Raw genomic sequence first — 16,025 nt, forward strand, 5'->3', positions numbered from 1 at the left:
CTATTTATTAACAGACATGACCTTAGTTTTGACGACAACCCTTGCTAACAATAAGGAAAAAACGGAGCCCTGGTTTAATAGCACTGTTCAGCTTTTCTCCTTTTTTGAAAAGCTGTGCCCTTACAATTTGTTGCAGCAAGGAGAAGGGCTGTATTGCTTAATAATGGTTCTACTAAAGTTCACCAAATTGTACTTGGTGTTCTGACATTTATTGCTTACAGAATATGTGTTTTCCACCTGGCCTTATTAAACACACACACACACACACACACACACACACACACACACACACACACAATTTGCTTGGATATCAAAGTGGCCATCCTAGTATGGTTAGAACAACCAGAGAAATCAGATTTTTCTGAAACTTCAGGGCTTCAAGAGCTAATCTCAAGTGACAGAGTTATTGAAAAATTTTGACCAAGAGAAGAACCTTACCTTAGAAAAGCACAAACATTTTGTGTAAATAAGCTGTCTCCTTCCTCTGGCAAGGTTGTTTATGCTTAGTCATTGGAAAGTTTCCGATGAACTTTGGTCAACATGGCTCAGTAATTACCAAGACATTGACTACCTACAGCCTGGATCGAAAAGGCAAAGCTTGACCTACTTGTAGCATGGACCCCCAAAAGCATCACTCAAGGTGATGAGATGCTTTCCTTGGAACGCTCTCTCTTTATTTCATGGCCACACCTAGTATAGCCCCTCTGATTTCAGGTCTGCTCTGCCCCAGGAAGGACCTTGAGTTGGACAGTAGCAGAGAAACATTATTGAGCTCTCCATGCATTATTCAATGCTGTACAAACTTCCATTTCTTTTTTTTTTTTTAGTTGAATATGGTTCTTTTTTTCTTTTTTTTTTTTTTTACTTTAAGTTCCGGGATACATGTGCAGAACGTGCAGGTTTGTTACATAGGTATACGTGTGCCATGGTGGTTTGCTGCACCTGTTAACCCATCATCTAGGTTCCTTCCCCTCACCACCCCCTGACCAACAGGCCCTGGTGTGTGTTGTTCCCCTCCCTGTGGCCATGTGTTTTCATTGTTCAACTCCCACTTATGAGTGAGAAAATGTGGTATTTGGTTTTCTGTCCCTGTGTCAGTTTGCTGAGGATGATGGTTTTCAGCTTCATCCATGTCCCTGCAAAGGACATGATCTCATTCTTTTTTATGGCTGCATAGTATTCCATGGTGTATATGCAAACTTCCATTTCTTTAGCACATTCACTGTCTGCTAGTCTTTAAGGAAGCACCAAATGCACACTAGGGTGTGATCACCTGCCAGTCATGAAGGTATTGTCTCTGGGCTCCACACCCGCCCTCGTATACTTGGATTTATGATTCTGAGGTGGAGACTCTACAAACCACGTTTCTCCTCCACCAGCAGGTCCATGGTAGGCTCTGAAAATAGAGGGTATTAGAGGAAGCCTGCAAGGTTGGAAGAGGCAAAGGGACCACCTCCTTCCTGTTTGCTCCCTCTTGGCTTGATGTGTGCTTGCCATGGCTGTGGGCAGCCCGCAGCTATGCTCCTTCACTGAGAAGCAGCATTTCTTTTTCATCTAGCAATGAGTGAACCTAATGTCAATTCTGTCCAACGCTTGCAGGACCAGCTGTGCTGTGTTCCCTTGGTCACTGGCATTTGTTGAGCAGTGCCTCTTCTCAGAGAGCTGAGTTTTAGGTCTGCAGGGCATCTCCTCCAATCTTCTAGGTTTTAACAATTCCATCCTTTCCCTTCTTCCCCAAGCCTAATAGTTAAAGCTGCTTCCTGTGGCTGTGACCTCTAGGGTATCTTAATATCTTCTTTTTATACTTTTAGTTACTATATTAGTCACGGTTCTCCAGAGAAATAGAACCAATAGGGTTTATGTAGATACGTAAAAAGAGATTTATTATGAGGGATCAGCTCATGCAATCACAGAGGCTGAGAAATCCCCTGAGCGGCCATCTCTAAGCTGCAGGCCCAGGAGAGTCAGTCTAGTTCAGTCTGAGTCCAAAACCCCAAGAACCAGCAGCACCAATGTCTAAGATCAGGAGAAGACGGATGTCCCAGCTCCAGCAGAAAGAGTAAATTCACCCTTTCTCCTCCTTTTTGTTCTATTCAGTCCCCTCAATGGATTGGATGCTGGTCACTCACATTGGTAAGGACAATCTTCTTTACTCAGTCTACTGATTCAAATGCTAATCTCTTCTGGAAACACCTTCACAGACACACTCAGAAATAATGTTTTACCAGCTATCTGGGCATCCCTTTGCCTCGTCGAGTTGACACATAAAATTAACCACCACCACAGTTACTTAGTTAACAACGTTTTGCCTAGTTTTGAATTCCTTATACCATATTTCTTTCTGTTAAAATAACAGGGTTAGTTTCTGCCTTTGGATTGAACCCGACTGATACCAGCTGACAATCTGGATTCATATGTTAACACTCCCACAACATTTTCTCCTCTATGAGTAGCTTGCAATCTGTATCTATTGCATTTGTATGTGCTGAAACCAATATTTTTATTTTCGCAAGCCACCCCATACTCACTCTTTGTCCACGTAGTTTAGGTAGGACTGATTCTACCCCTTACTCCAGGGGTAGACTTGTGACTCAAGTCTAACCAATTAAATAATTGCCTTTCCCAACCATGGGGTTTAGTTTAGTGGGTGAACATGTTTTCCAGATGTACTGGAAGTCAGTGTCACTTTCTTATGCTTTCAAGTTACGTGAACTAGTAAGATCCCCACTCCACAACACCCCCCCCCCGTCGAACTTTTTTTTTAAAGCTAGGTTTGAGTTGTATATTTCTCACTGACAAGCTCTTAAACGAAAGGAAAGCAGAGACTTGTTGGAGGTGGGGTGGCAGCAGGCAATAGTCTGTGGTCTTCAAACCACATCTAGAAAGGAGCTGATGGCAGCAGGTAGGTATGCACCTCACTCGGTCCTCCTCCAGCCTGGAGACTAGCTAGACTCTTGGTTGCCCAGTTTCGCACTGGATTGATTCCATGTGACCGCTTGCAGATGAACAGACAAAAGAGCCTTGGGGCTTGATGCTTTGACATCCATATTCTGTGAGACCAATGGAACTTTCTAGATGCACATTCTATTTGACAATGTAGCTTAATTACCTTACAAGATGGTGGGGACAAAACTAAAACACCTTCATGTATTATCTTCTAAATATGGTTATCTGATACTGATATCTAAGTGAAGATAGAGATAGGAAAAGAGTTGGCATTTACTGAATTCCATTATAGATAGGGATTGGGCTAAGCACCCTTAATTCACAACCAACCTAGGAAATGTATATCATCATCCACTTTTAAAGATGAGAATAACAAGGATGAGAAAGGTTGAGCAACCTGTTCAAGGTTATAAGCTAATAGATTCAAATCTAGTTCCTTCTGACATTGAAGTTCATTTTGTCTTTCCACATTAAGAAGGATCAGGGAAGTAAACAGAAAGTTCAAAGAGAAAAGACAATTACTGAAAACATCTTGCCTTCTACCTTTCTCCTTGTTTTCCACACCCAAAGTCCCCAAACAGAATGTGGCTGGAAAACTGTTTTAAAGTATCATTGCAGGCAAGAATCTATCCTGTGTATTGAGGAAAATAAATCCAAAAGCAACAGTGCCCAGAATGTTCAAAAAGTCTTAGGCTATTTCGAGTCCAGCCACAAAAATTTAGCCTTATATTTGTAGAATGATTAACTATCATTCATTAGTGTATTTTATACTTCACTGAACTTAGGCAAATTATATAAACATTTTATATATAAGCAAAACATGTCAAGTGTCAGGACTCAAAATATGTATTTAATTAAAGAAATACATCTCTTAAAACCAAGGCCCTAAATACATATTAAACGATACCCTAATCTGAAGGTAAATGAGATATGCTACCTAACAGATACTCAGTGACCCACACACATGGTAATACCTCCGTTAATGAGGCAAATTCATTCTAGCAGCACACTTTAGTGTCAGAAACTTCATTGCCTGATGAAGCAATAACACAGAAGCCATAAGGACCCATCCAAGGAAGACAGAAAAGAGGTTGGTACAGTATGACATTATTCAATATTAAACAAAATTACATCAAACAGCGCCAGAAAACAAGTATTTGGAAGTTCTAAGATAGGGATAGATAATTAAAAAGAAGCTGGAATCAAAGGGCTAACCTGTGACCCTCCAGGGAAGCAGAGAAAAGGTTTGAAAAAGAAGACTATGCGATAGACTAGATTAGACTAGTCTGGATTACAGCAGAATAAACTCAGCCCTGTTCGATCACCCCCCACAGCCCAGAACAGGCTTTGAAGAGGGAGCTGGGTCTGGCCCAGTCTCTGCAATGACACAGACTATCTGGAGAGGAGAGATGGCACCTCTGACTGCCCCCACCCCCCCCCACCCCCACCGGCACCTTTCACAAGAGGCCCCCAAACCCAACAAGGGCAAAATCAGGGTAGGAGTTACACATATGTAATCTCGTTGTGCTCCATATTGCCCCATCCATTAAGGGTCCTTTAGGCCAGGCGTGGTGGCTCATGCCTGTAATCCCAGCACTTTGGGAGGCCGAGGTGGACGGATCATGAGGTCAGGAGATTGAGACCATCCTGGCCAACATAGTGAAACCCCGTCTCTACTAAAAATACAAAAAAAAAAAAAAAATTATCTGGGCGTGGTGGCACACACCTGTAGTCCCAGCTACTTTGGAGGCTGAGGCAGGAGAATCGCTTGAACCAGGGGGCTGGAGGTTGCAGTGAGCCAAGATCATGCCACAGCACTCCAGTGCCATATGACTCCAGCAACAGAGTGAGAATCTGTCTAAAAAAAAGTCCTTTAATAAGGTGGCCATCCTTCATTAGTCTGTAGAATTAAAGGACCAAGTACTTTTACCTGGCTGGGGTTCCATGTTGACTAAACCTGACTTGGACTAAAGTGTAGGTCATTAATGAATGAGACAGTCAGTACATGAAGATGACCCTGATCAGATCCTTGGCTTTCTGGACAGAAGCAAGGATGCTGGGACATGGGTTGACACTGGGCAGCTGAAGGGACAGAGGAGGCAGCCAGGAATTATGAGACTCAGAAATGAGAGGCTGGGGAAACCCTAAATTTCACTGATTTCTTATTTATACCATAAACCATGCAGGACAAACATGCTCTATTCACCGAGGTATTTTTGTCCCGTGCAGCTGTGTGGCTTAGCAGGAGCTTTGCTATCGAGCCATATGACTCATGCCAACACTGCTGCATATGATTTATGAAGACTTAAAGAAAAAGAAAACAGCCAGCTTCATTACGAAGGGGGTTTGTTTTCAGAGGATTTGTTCATCAAGGATCATGGTACCATTTGGTCCTTTCTTGCTTACTCTCTGAGTGAAACAGTGAGCCTGCCTCAGCCAGCAAGTGGTCAGAGGGCACCCTCCTGCCTCCCTCCTCCTCATTTGCTCTATTTCCAGCATAAAGAAGGGAACCTCTAGTTTAACAAGAGAACAGATAGCCACAAACAGAGATCTGTGGCTTTCACCTGCCACAGGAGCCTTAGTGACGATGAAACCTGCCAAACTGACTATCAGAGGTATTGTTTGGGCCTGGAACTGCTTACTTCAAAGTTTGGTCTACAGCCCAAGGCATGGGGAAAATGATTAAAAAGGGGTGAAGTTTTATTGACACCCAGGCTAGTAGCTTCTGTCAGATTGTCTCCCTGACTCACTGAGTAGGACAACATCTCCAGCTGTTTTTCTGAAATGGTCCACAGGGAACATTCAACAGCCCTCCCTCCCCGCATCTTCATCCCAGTCTCCCCAGCAGGGGTCAGAAAGGAAGAGGCTGAGATCTTGAACTCTAAATGTTTCTAACTCCTTCCCTAGAAACTTCCCAAGCTGGACTTGACTGGTCTAGTCTCTTTTCTGCTCTTCCTCCCTGTTTCAGCCTCACTGTCCAACAAGGCCAAGTTCACATTTATGCCTTGAAAACTGGGAAAATCAGGCCAGTTGATCGCCCAGGGTTGTGGCAGTAACATGTAATGGCTGCTTTGTGATAAAGTAGCTTTGACTAAAAAAGCAACTTTGGCAATATCCTGTTTATGTGCTTCCAGGAACGCACCGTTACCCACCAATACCCTCACCACAATAGAGTGGAATAAAAGTTCATAAGAATTTGTGAATAATAACATACTCATAGGGCCTGCACTTTGAACACTTTCATCTTAAATTTAATTGTGGGAGGCTCAGGATAAACTTTGTGTTCATGTTGTCTAACTTGTTAATAAGATACATAGTTTATCTTATCACTAGGAAAGATGAGAACAAAGCAGAGTTGGAAGATTTGCAAAAGGAACTTGAAATGAAAAATTTAAAAATATTGAACGTATGTGCCATATGCGAACAAGGTTATATTTTAAGCTCAAAAATAAAAATAAAAATTAAAAATTTTGGTGCAGTTTATTTCCCAGCAAAAGTATTAAATTAAATAGCCCATCTTTTGTTTCATTTTGTTGTAGTTAGTTTGGGTACAGTGCTTCCATGCAGTTTTTGGTTTATTTGTTTAATTTTTGTGTGGTCCAGCCCCTACCCCCACCAACACACACACAAAAGACCTGAACAATTGGTTACAGGTAGTTGTTTTAATCTTTCCCTCTGGAAGCTTTGAAGATGCTTCCAGCTGCATCAAAGTGCTTCATTGCTCTGCGCATCTCCGCCCAACTTCAAAGCCTCACTGCAGGAATTCGTAGTGCAGTGTGTACCGTGTAGTTCTAAAGGAGCTATTACTTTTTATTTATTGTGCAAATTTTTATGGAGATACCCCGGTATCTTTCTTGACACACCACTTAGCTTCAGAGTGGCTCCTTCTAGCTATTATTAAGAATTATCTAGGAAAATTATCTAAAGAAATAGGTTAGGGTCAGACAGCCTGAAACTAGTTTAGCTGACTTTATGTCCTTTCAGTGTCTACTCTGCCACACCCTGCCAAACTAACTCTTCTAGAAGATCTATCAGCAGAGTAGCTGGACAGCTTTCCCTTAGTTGCTGGGAGGAAGCTAATTAGTTTTAAGTTGTGATTTTAAAAAAAAGTTTCACCTTTAAAGAAATTATAGGTAAAGGATTCTAAAAGGAACAGGAGTCCTGAGATAGAAGAGCAAATAGATGCTCTTGGTTGGGCTGCCTAGTAGAACTTTGCAATGATGGAAGTAGTCTCTAATTTTGTGCTGTCCAATATGGGAGCCACTGCCACCAGTGGCTACTGAGCAGTTGAAATATGGCTAGTGTGACTGTAAGACTGAGTTTTACATTTTATTTAATTTTAATTCATTTAAATTCCCATAAGTGGCTACTATATTGAACAGCCCAGCTCTAGAAAACTAACCGTGTATGTGTACGTGTACATGTGTGTTTAGAAAAGCTAGGGCCAGCCTGGGCAACAAGTGAGACCACATGTTTATTTAAAAATTAACTAGGCATGGTGGCATGTGCCTGTAGTCCTACGTGCTTGGAAGGCTGAAATGGGAGGATGTCTTGAGCCCGGGAGTTCAAGGCTGTAGTAGCTATGACCATGCCACTGCATGGTCAACATGTGCAACAGAGTGAGACCCTCTCAAAAAAACAAAAACAAAAAAACCTCAAAAAACTAGGACCAAAGTGGGAGGAAAGAGAAGGAAGGAAAAAGAAGAAAAAATAGTACCTACTCAGAACTTACTGGAAAAATCCTTTTGACCTGTCACCATAATCTCTTCACTCAGGCAATAAGGAGATCCTGCAATCAGTCCTAAAGACAGTAGCGTCATCATTTATTTTCTGTAATCATTAGGGCACAAGGCTGCCATGCCCACACACAAGCTGGGCACTTCCCTGCATTCATCCCTACTGATTGATAGCATTTCAAGTAATCTTGTGCTAGGCAATGGATAAGAGGAAAAGGTAATGAAATTGCCTCCTCATTTACCAACCCAAGCCAATAATGTGTCATTGTGCGTGGCTGTCAGTTTTATACATCAAGGGTGCCCAATAACAGGTAGGACACCCGCCCTTTTAAAACAACATAAATCAGGAGTTGTACGAGTAGAGAGGGGTCACCAAGAGGCCACAGGACTCTCAGGCCTGTGCACTGTCTGATTTGGGGCCTTCAACATATTCCCTGAGCTGGCAGAAACACGGGATTCTGCATACTTTTTGGGAACTCTGAGCTGTGTGAATGCTATGAGCAAGCTCCCGGCTGAAGGAGGAAGGAACCACAGAAAGACTAAGTAGATGTGACTGTCCATAAATATGTGATAGAAGATCCTTGCTGGTTTGAAGTTGGTGGGGCGGGGGCTCCAAACACAGGCAGCAGGAAGAAAGCCCTCTGACCCCCAACAACTCACCGGTTTCCCTCTGTTCGTTTTCCTGCTACGTTCTAATTAGGAAACACTGAAGAAATCTTGGAAAGTATAAAGAACCAGACATTAATAAGTTTTTCTCCATCCAGGAAAAAAAAAACTTGTTAATTAACCCACATTTCACTTCTATAAAGTTTTTTTTTTTTCTTTTCCTCCTGATGTACGCATCTGGGCACAGCATTTAGCAAGGTACTGAAATGTTTAACTGCTGCTACCACTGCTGAGGTACTTTCTCGTCAAGAGAGATTTGCCTTTTTCATCATGAATTCTTTTGTTTTTCCCTGTGGCCAGCTGCTACAAAGATGCAGTCAATTTAGATTAAACAGGCTGAGGAGTGCTATTCAATATGTCACCCAGGCACACTTCTCTAAATACAGTGTGCAGCAGGTACAGCTTAAAAAGAAAAGTCAGGGGGCTGTTCACAGAGGGGCATGCACTTTGTTTTAAGTCTGGGAACAAGAGACGGATCCTTGGAGTGCAGATGTGGGTTTTTCCATATTCAGCGCTGGGAGCAGCTCTTGCCCTTTCTTTCTGCCTGTCTTCACCCTCGTCCCGCTCCTCCCCTTCCCCTGCTGCCACTGGTTTCTATCTCCATTGTTCCCTTAAGCCCAGCAGCCAATGTGCAGCCAGGCCCAGCACACGCTCCGCAGCCAGCAACTTCCTCTGAAGCTGCAACGCATAATTACAACCAGCTGCTCTGGGCTGCTGGCTGGCCAGCTCTGCAAACAAGCATCCCGATACCTCGAGTTCCTGGGAGGCAACAGCCTGATCTTGGCAGCAACAAATTCTCTGAAGGAAGTGCCCACACCCTTGTAAGAAGAGGGAGCAGCCCTTCTCTCTCTCCTGTGGCTTCCAGAGGCCAGCGCTGGTTCTGGTCCGGTTTCTCCTCTCGCAAGAGACTCTTGCATGTCAGTCAGAGAGAGCTGGTTCTATTGTTAATGGGAAGGTGCCTGCTTTCACCTGCAGCTGCCTTCATCCGACTGGCCTATTGTCTGACTGGTGTGACCACCAGCAGAATGGCGTGTCTTAGGCAGTAGCACTAGGAGCCCTGGCTTCTGGTCAGCCTCTCAGCTGAGGCATTTTGTGAATGTGTACAGAGAGATAGGGGTAGGAAACGTGAACTGCCCTCGGCTAGCATGAGGCTAAAAGACAACTGATGTTGCTTAAAAAAATACCAGTGAAAATCCAAACAAGCCTAACTTAACTTCCCTAAGGAGAGCAGCATGTGGGCAAGAGAGCTGAGGGTTCGTCCAGGCCCCGCCTCAGAGCTGCGGGTTCATTTTGGGGCCTCAGTGATCTTTCAGGCTTGGCTACAAGGATGACTCTGATCCAAAATTAGGCTTTGAATGTGTAACACAAGGCTCTTGGCCCCACCCACCGCCTCTCTCTGCCCTATGCTGTTTCTTTAGAGCCTGGCTGTGGGCCAGAGCTGGCCCTTCTGGCTCTTGGGGGAAGGGCTGGCCACAGCGTTCTGTTTCCAGGCAGGGCTTTAGCGTGGGTGAAGGTGCATGGCGCAATTTGGGAAGAGGAGGGGAGATCAATACACTTGGAAAGGGCACCCAACCCTAGAATCACCAGCCCCGTCAATCTAAAGCTGGAGAGGGCCCTGCAAGGGGCAGGTGTGCCACCTGGGGCTGCCGCATTGCCCCCACCCACCTGTGCCTCCCAGCCCAGGCTCCTAATAGTCCCACTGAGCGCCAGCCAGGCCAGGAGGACTGCCCTGTCATGCCCAATAGCAGCCTCCGAGGTGGGAAGCAGCTGGGAGTCTGCTGTTGAAAAGGAGCTGCTCATTTTACAGGGCAATTTCCCAGGGATGCCTGCCCTGGCAGTAGTGGCTCAAGTGGGGCAGACAGGAACATCTTCGAGAAGATTCGTTCTTTCTGTCTGAGCTTGGGCAGTCATGCCATGGCCAGCAGCAGCCAGCTGTCTATTATATTGGGTTTCCCATTTGCAGACCTCTTTGTTTCAGTATTAAAAAATCTCGGGAAACTTTTCTGGCTGAGTGGTACTGGGCAGGTACTCGGGGGCACTTGCTGGGAAGGAATAATAGCAGACAGGTTTGGCAAATGGGATGCAGAGAATTAAGTCGTTGTTGGATATGTGTGAACAATGGGGTTGGTACATTATCAGCTATAGCTTTTCTGTGTCTCTTCATCAGTTTCTAATAAGCTTTACAATTTAATTTCCGACAGGAAAAAAGTATCAGTTTAAGGTGCTCTTTTGGTGTTCAACCCATGCTTTCTCTTCTGATTCTTAAGCCTGGCTACACTTTAGAAGCTCATACAAGCTCATGTCCGTAATAGCATCACGACGCAGCTATTTCAGCCTGCAGATGACTTGTGCAGCATGACTGGATCCTCCACTTAGAGCAGTCTGGAGGGCCCAGTGACGCAGTAATATGATTTTCGGCAGGTTTTTCTTCGGGCTTACAAGGAGGAGCAAGCTTAACAAGCAAACAGTCATGCCTGAGTTCTCACTTTCCTGCAAACTTTACTTGAGAACCTCAGAGATGAGAGTTGCTTTAGAAGCCTTCCTAGAGAAGGAATATGGAGAAGGCACCTGTAGCCCTGTGAGATCAGTAAGTGGAGGGGAAAAAAAAAAAGATGTACAAAAACAGAAAGAGAAAAAAAAGCCAGTCTTCAGGGTTATAAAAAATGAAGTTGGGAAGGATAAGCGCTGGGTTTCAAGGCTTAGATTATTCTAACTCTGTCTGTAATTACCTGCATGGAGTTGGCAGTTTACTGACTTCTTCTAGTTTAGGTTTTCTCATTTGTAAAATAGAGGAGATTATACCATTTCTCTGCCATTCTACCATGGGGAAGCGTGTGTGTCTGTGACTGTGGAGTGAGGGGGAGAGAGGAAGCATGCTAAAAACGTTAAAAGTAGTGTAGAAATGCATTTTGCAGTAGTAAAGTTAACTATTGGTAATAATAGCATCTACTTGTGCACCTTCTACAGGTTATCTGTTTATATTTAAATGAATCATTAGGTCCAGCCATGGAAGTGGATTTAATGAAATACTGTCGACCAATGAATGAAGAAATATAAGTACTTTTTCATCTTCTTATTTTGAGAGAAAAAAATCATATTTTCTGTAATTTATAAACCATCAGATGAAGTTTTATTTTACCACATAAACGCAACTATGAAGGTTTTCGGGCCTCTTCCAGCATCTCCTAGTGCTTTCCAAAGATGTTCCTGACAGTCTGAGAGCAAGGTATCATGTATCATTCTTTCCACCAACAGATGGAGAAACTGAAGCATGAAGAGGTGACGCGAGGTCACCGAGGGAGCAGGTGATGGACTGGCTTCTGGTCTCTTGCTCCAAACCCTGCTCCAATTTGTCTTTCTTATAAACAGCCATTAATAACTTTATCTCCAGGCTGAATGCTGCCAACCAGGACCCACAACGTGCTGAGCATTTGTATGCAAATGAGCTCTCCACCATCCTGGGGAGAACACAGGGTGCTGAACAGGAATGGAGGAAGGAGAAATAATTGTTACTACTGGAGTCTAAAACGCCATCCAAACCCAGACTCACAGTGAAATTCCAGAAATGAGGAAGTAATGAGTGTTAAATTCAATATCATCAGTCAATCCACTACTAACAGATCAAGATCCTATAAACCTAATGGCAGGACTTCCTAAACATTTACTTTATTTTTATATATATATTTTTTGAGACGGAGTCTCAGTCTGCTCCCCAGGCTGGAGTGCAATGGCATGATCTCGGCTCACTGCAACTTCTACCTCCCGGGTTCAGGTTCAAGCGATTCTCCTGCCTCGGCCTCCCAAGTAGCTGGCACTACAGGCATGTGCCACCACACCCAGCTAATGTTTGTATTTTTAGTAGAGACGGGGTTTCACTATGTTGGCCAGGCTGTTCTCAAACTCCTGACCTTGTGATCCACCTGCTTCAGCCTCCCAAAGTGCTGGGATTACAGGCGTGAGCCACCGCACCGAGCCACATTTACTTTATTTAAAAATCTATTTTTGACACTAAGAGATTTTCCTTCCTTAATATCAGAACTGTGCCAAGAATTAGATGGATGGCAAAATAATTAAAATTTCATGTTAATGTTCATATGTTGTGATCATGCGTATCACCATGTATAAGTCAACCAAATGCTTAGGTTGATGGAACATTCCTATTTAAAAATTAAAGTTGTGACCCATTTTCCTTCACATATTGTCGGCTCAAATATGTACCTGTTCCCTTTAGGCTTTCAGCCCGACTCAGCCACTAGCTTTGTGACCTTCGGCAAAGGCCCTGAACCTCAATCTCCTACTCTGCAAATGGGAGCAGTCAGGTTTGTCTCAGATTTTTTGCAAAGGCTAATTGACTTCATGTTTGTAAAAGTATTGGAAGCAACCCCTGGCACGTAGACAGTGCTTAGTGAATACCATTTCCTTTTTCCCCCTTTGAATATGTTTGTTATGAAATGCTTGAGTTTTTGGAGCCAAGGTATACTTTTATATACCTTGCTCACAATTCTATAAGGTAGCTAAGGAAGGTACAATTCTATAAGGTAGCTAAGGAAGGTGCAATTATGCCTTTCATATATAGAAGAAAACTCTGTCTCTGAGAGGTAATTTGCTCAGAGTCAGGCTGCAAATTGGTGCAGAACTAGAAGCCTGGCACCCTAATTCCTAGTCCTGTGATCTTTCCATTAACTTTTTATTGCCACCATTGCCTCCGCCTCAATGAAAGCTCCTGTTGTAGCCCACCCCAAACCAATTCCAGCTCCCAGGATGTGGCTCCTCGGTGCCTCTTTCCACCCCTCCCTGCACTGTTGCCCTAGCTTCAACTCCATCCCATTTTTCAGTGACTTCCCTCTACCTCTACCTGGGTCTGGATGCTCAGAGACTAATCTACATAGTGTATGAGTCCAAATGACTTTGGGAGGAAGGTTCTTTTAAACAAAAGAGGTTGAATTAGATACCACCATACATATTGTGTTGTTAAATATCTACAGCATGATAAAATCATTCCAAATGTCACCAATCCCTGGGGAGTTTATTAATAATTAAGCATTTTTAGTTCACTTAGAAATGCAGATTCCATTTAACAACAGAATGTACACTAAATATGTCCATTATATTGCAGCTTGCAGCAGAATATGTTAGAGATCTCAGCTGGGTTTCTCCAGGACAGATGACAAAGTTAATGCAGGTATCAGTCTTTCCTAAAGGTGGCAGAGGAGCCAAAAGCAGCATCCTGGATTGGTTTATAGGGTCTGCATTTATTAGGAGTGTTTATTAGGATGTCTAATAATGGAAAAGACAACTTGGCAAGGGTAGGAGTGGATTGGAGGAGAGCCGGGAGAAGCCCAAAGGAAATGGGATGATCTCGAAAAACAAAAGGAAGGGCAGCAACCCAGGGTCTGTGGTGTGTGAATCATTTGTCCACACACTGATTTTTAAGGTTTTCAAGGAACAGGCAAACAAAGCTATCATTTTATATGTTCCACTTGCTTGGAAGGCCATTTACATTTTTTTTGGCTTATTCCGGAAAGATAGTCATGGTTACACACACACACACACACACACACACACACTACACACACTACACACATGTACTCCACACACACACACACACACTTCACACACATGCACACACACACTCACATATACACACATGCACAAGCACTTTTCTTTAAAATGCAGTTTTATTTCCTGGGCAAGGACAGAACAGCGAATATCAAGAAAGGAAGAATGGGGAAGAAGGGAAGGGCAGGAAGGAAGGAGTGGAGGGAGGAAGGCAGGCAAGCAAAAAGGCTGGCAACCTTCTTTGTCTCTTCCATAGATTTACTGTTTCTTCCTAGGCCCACCAAAAAAGGTTCCTTTTGAAGGTGATACAGAGGAGGGAGGAAAAGAGAGAGAAATTGAGATAAAGAGGAAGTGGGGCGCGGTTGTGGTGAGATGCAGGGAAATGAGCTGATCCAGGCATTAGTGTTGGAGCTCTCGCTCGCTGTGCAATGCAGGATCTTGGGCATGTTATTTAACTTCTCTGTCTAGGCCCCTTTCCTACCAGCAGAAGTTTTCATGATCTTACAGACTCCCTCTAGCCTTCATGTTCCAGAAACCTAGGCTTGAAGCAGTGAGAAGGCCCCTTCTTAATGATACCTGAAAACTTTGCAAGCTTTTAGCAGAAAATGACTGTGGATAAATACTTCTATTTCCTCGTTTTCCAAACGGAAACTACATTGCAAGCTATGCCACTTCTTTCCTCTCTCACTTAAAGCACCTGCCAAACTAATAAAAGAGTCATAAATTTAGTTGTAAGGGCTCCAACAAAAGAGAAAATCCCCGCCTACTAGGGCAGCCAGGCTGTCACCAGGAAGTAAAAGCTGCAGCGGAGACTGCTCTTGTGTAGAGTGTAGCCAGTCTGGGTGCTGGAGGGGCAGCAAGGCCGAGAAGCAGCACAGAATGAACATGGGCAAAGGACTCAGCTAACACTGCAGTTTCTTAATTTCCTTCCTGAGATGATTGGGGTTCAGGGTCCAGTGAGTACCGCCTCAAAGGGACTTCCCGGTCTGAAAATGGTGTGTGCATGTCTGGGGACTCACTCCCCAGGTGTTCTCCAAAACCAACACTTTCTGTTGTTTGAGGAGAGGGCAAGGAGTGTTATTTATCGCACAGCTGCCTTGGGAGAATTAGGGAGGGAGCTGAGCTTCAAAACAGCTTGTGAACTTAGAGACTAGGAAATGGTGGAGAAAGATGACTTAAAGCCAAATAGATTAATAAACTCAATTATCTGGATGGTTTTCATTAGCCACTGGTTTTCCTTTTCTGAAAATCACGGCTGTTTTTTCCTGCTATGAACCAGCACATCCCCAGTGAGAACAGTGTTTATTATATTTCAACATTCACAGAAGCAGGTGGTGAGCTTTCCCATTTTGCCTTAACACAGACACACACATATCACCACCACCACCAATAACAACCTGATAATGCAAAGAATTGCTTTGCTCTGTCTCTTTAAATAATCTAAAAATACTCCTTGGGTACCATCAAGGCTAATCATCACAATTATGCTTATAACCAAGCGGGTACCACCACCTATGGTCCATATGTTGCTTCAGATAGGGACTGCAGGGTCATATTAGATAGGGCATGGCCTCACTCTTCAGCAGGATTAACAGAAGATGTGTGCACGTGTGTGTGTTTGTGTGTGGGAATTGTTACCAGGTTTAGCTCCTGTAATTTCTCACACTTTAGGTTCCTGGCATAGAAAAGCATCTTTGAAATTTCTAGGGTTCTAAGCATAATCACAGATTTTTCAAGCTGGCAGGAGTAGGGTCCAACCAACTCACTGTGTAGATGATTAAACTGTGGCTCCAAGAAGTTAGCAGATGAAGGGTGGGTCACCCAGTTGGTTGGTCAGAGATCCAGGAATGGAATCTTGGCCTCCAGGTTCCTTGTCCTGTGCTCTTTCTACTCAGTGTGGATTTGAGATCTGTTTTGCAGAATTTCCTTTAGGTTTTGTACTCAGCTGGAGACCACACATCATGTTATGGGTTTATGTATCCAAAGTCTTCACTAGTCAAGTGTTCCCCAGCACTCTCTGCGCTGGTCCACACTGTCACAAGGCCACATCGCTGCAAAAAGATATGGCAGGAGCACTCGGCTCCGACAGAACACACGTGCTTTTTCATCAATATCCTT

General features: G+C 43.8%; 1 long non-coding RNA gene across 1 annotated transcript, besides 1 other annotated feature; it reads left to right on the forward strand.

Moving 5' to 3' along the window:
- The first annotated feature begins 10,805 nt into the window (after positions 1–10,805).
- Positions 10,806–15,123, forward strand: LOC124900784 (uncharacterized). Its single transcript, XR_007058280.1, has 2 exons — positions 10,806–10,935; positions 11,316–15,123. It is a non-coding gene; the product is annotated as an uncharacterized LOC124900784 (long non-coding RNA).
- Positions 14,658–14,847: a silencer, noted in NCBI's record as "silent region_15708". NCBI's record gives its function as "represses an Ori minimal core promoter by ATAC-STARR-seq in GM12878 lymphoblastoid cells {active_cell/tissue: GM12878}" and the evidence as "EXISTENCE:reporter gene assay evidence [ECO:0000049][PMID:35858748]".
- Positions 15,124–16,025: the final 902 nt, after the last annotated feature.

Source organism: Homo sapiens, chromosome 4, assembly GCF_000001405.40.
Source record: "Homo sapiens chromosome 4, GRCh38.p14 Primary Assembly".
NCBI classification, from domain to species: domain Eukaryota; kingdom Metazoa; phylum Chordata; class Mammalia; order Primates; family Hominidae; genus Homo; species Homo sapiens.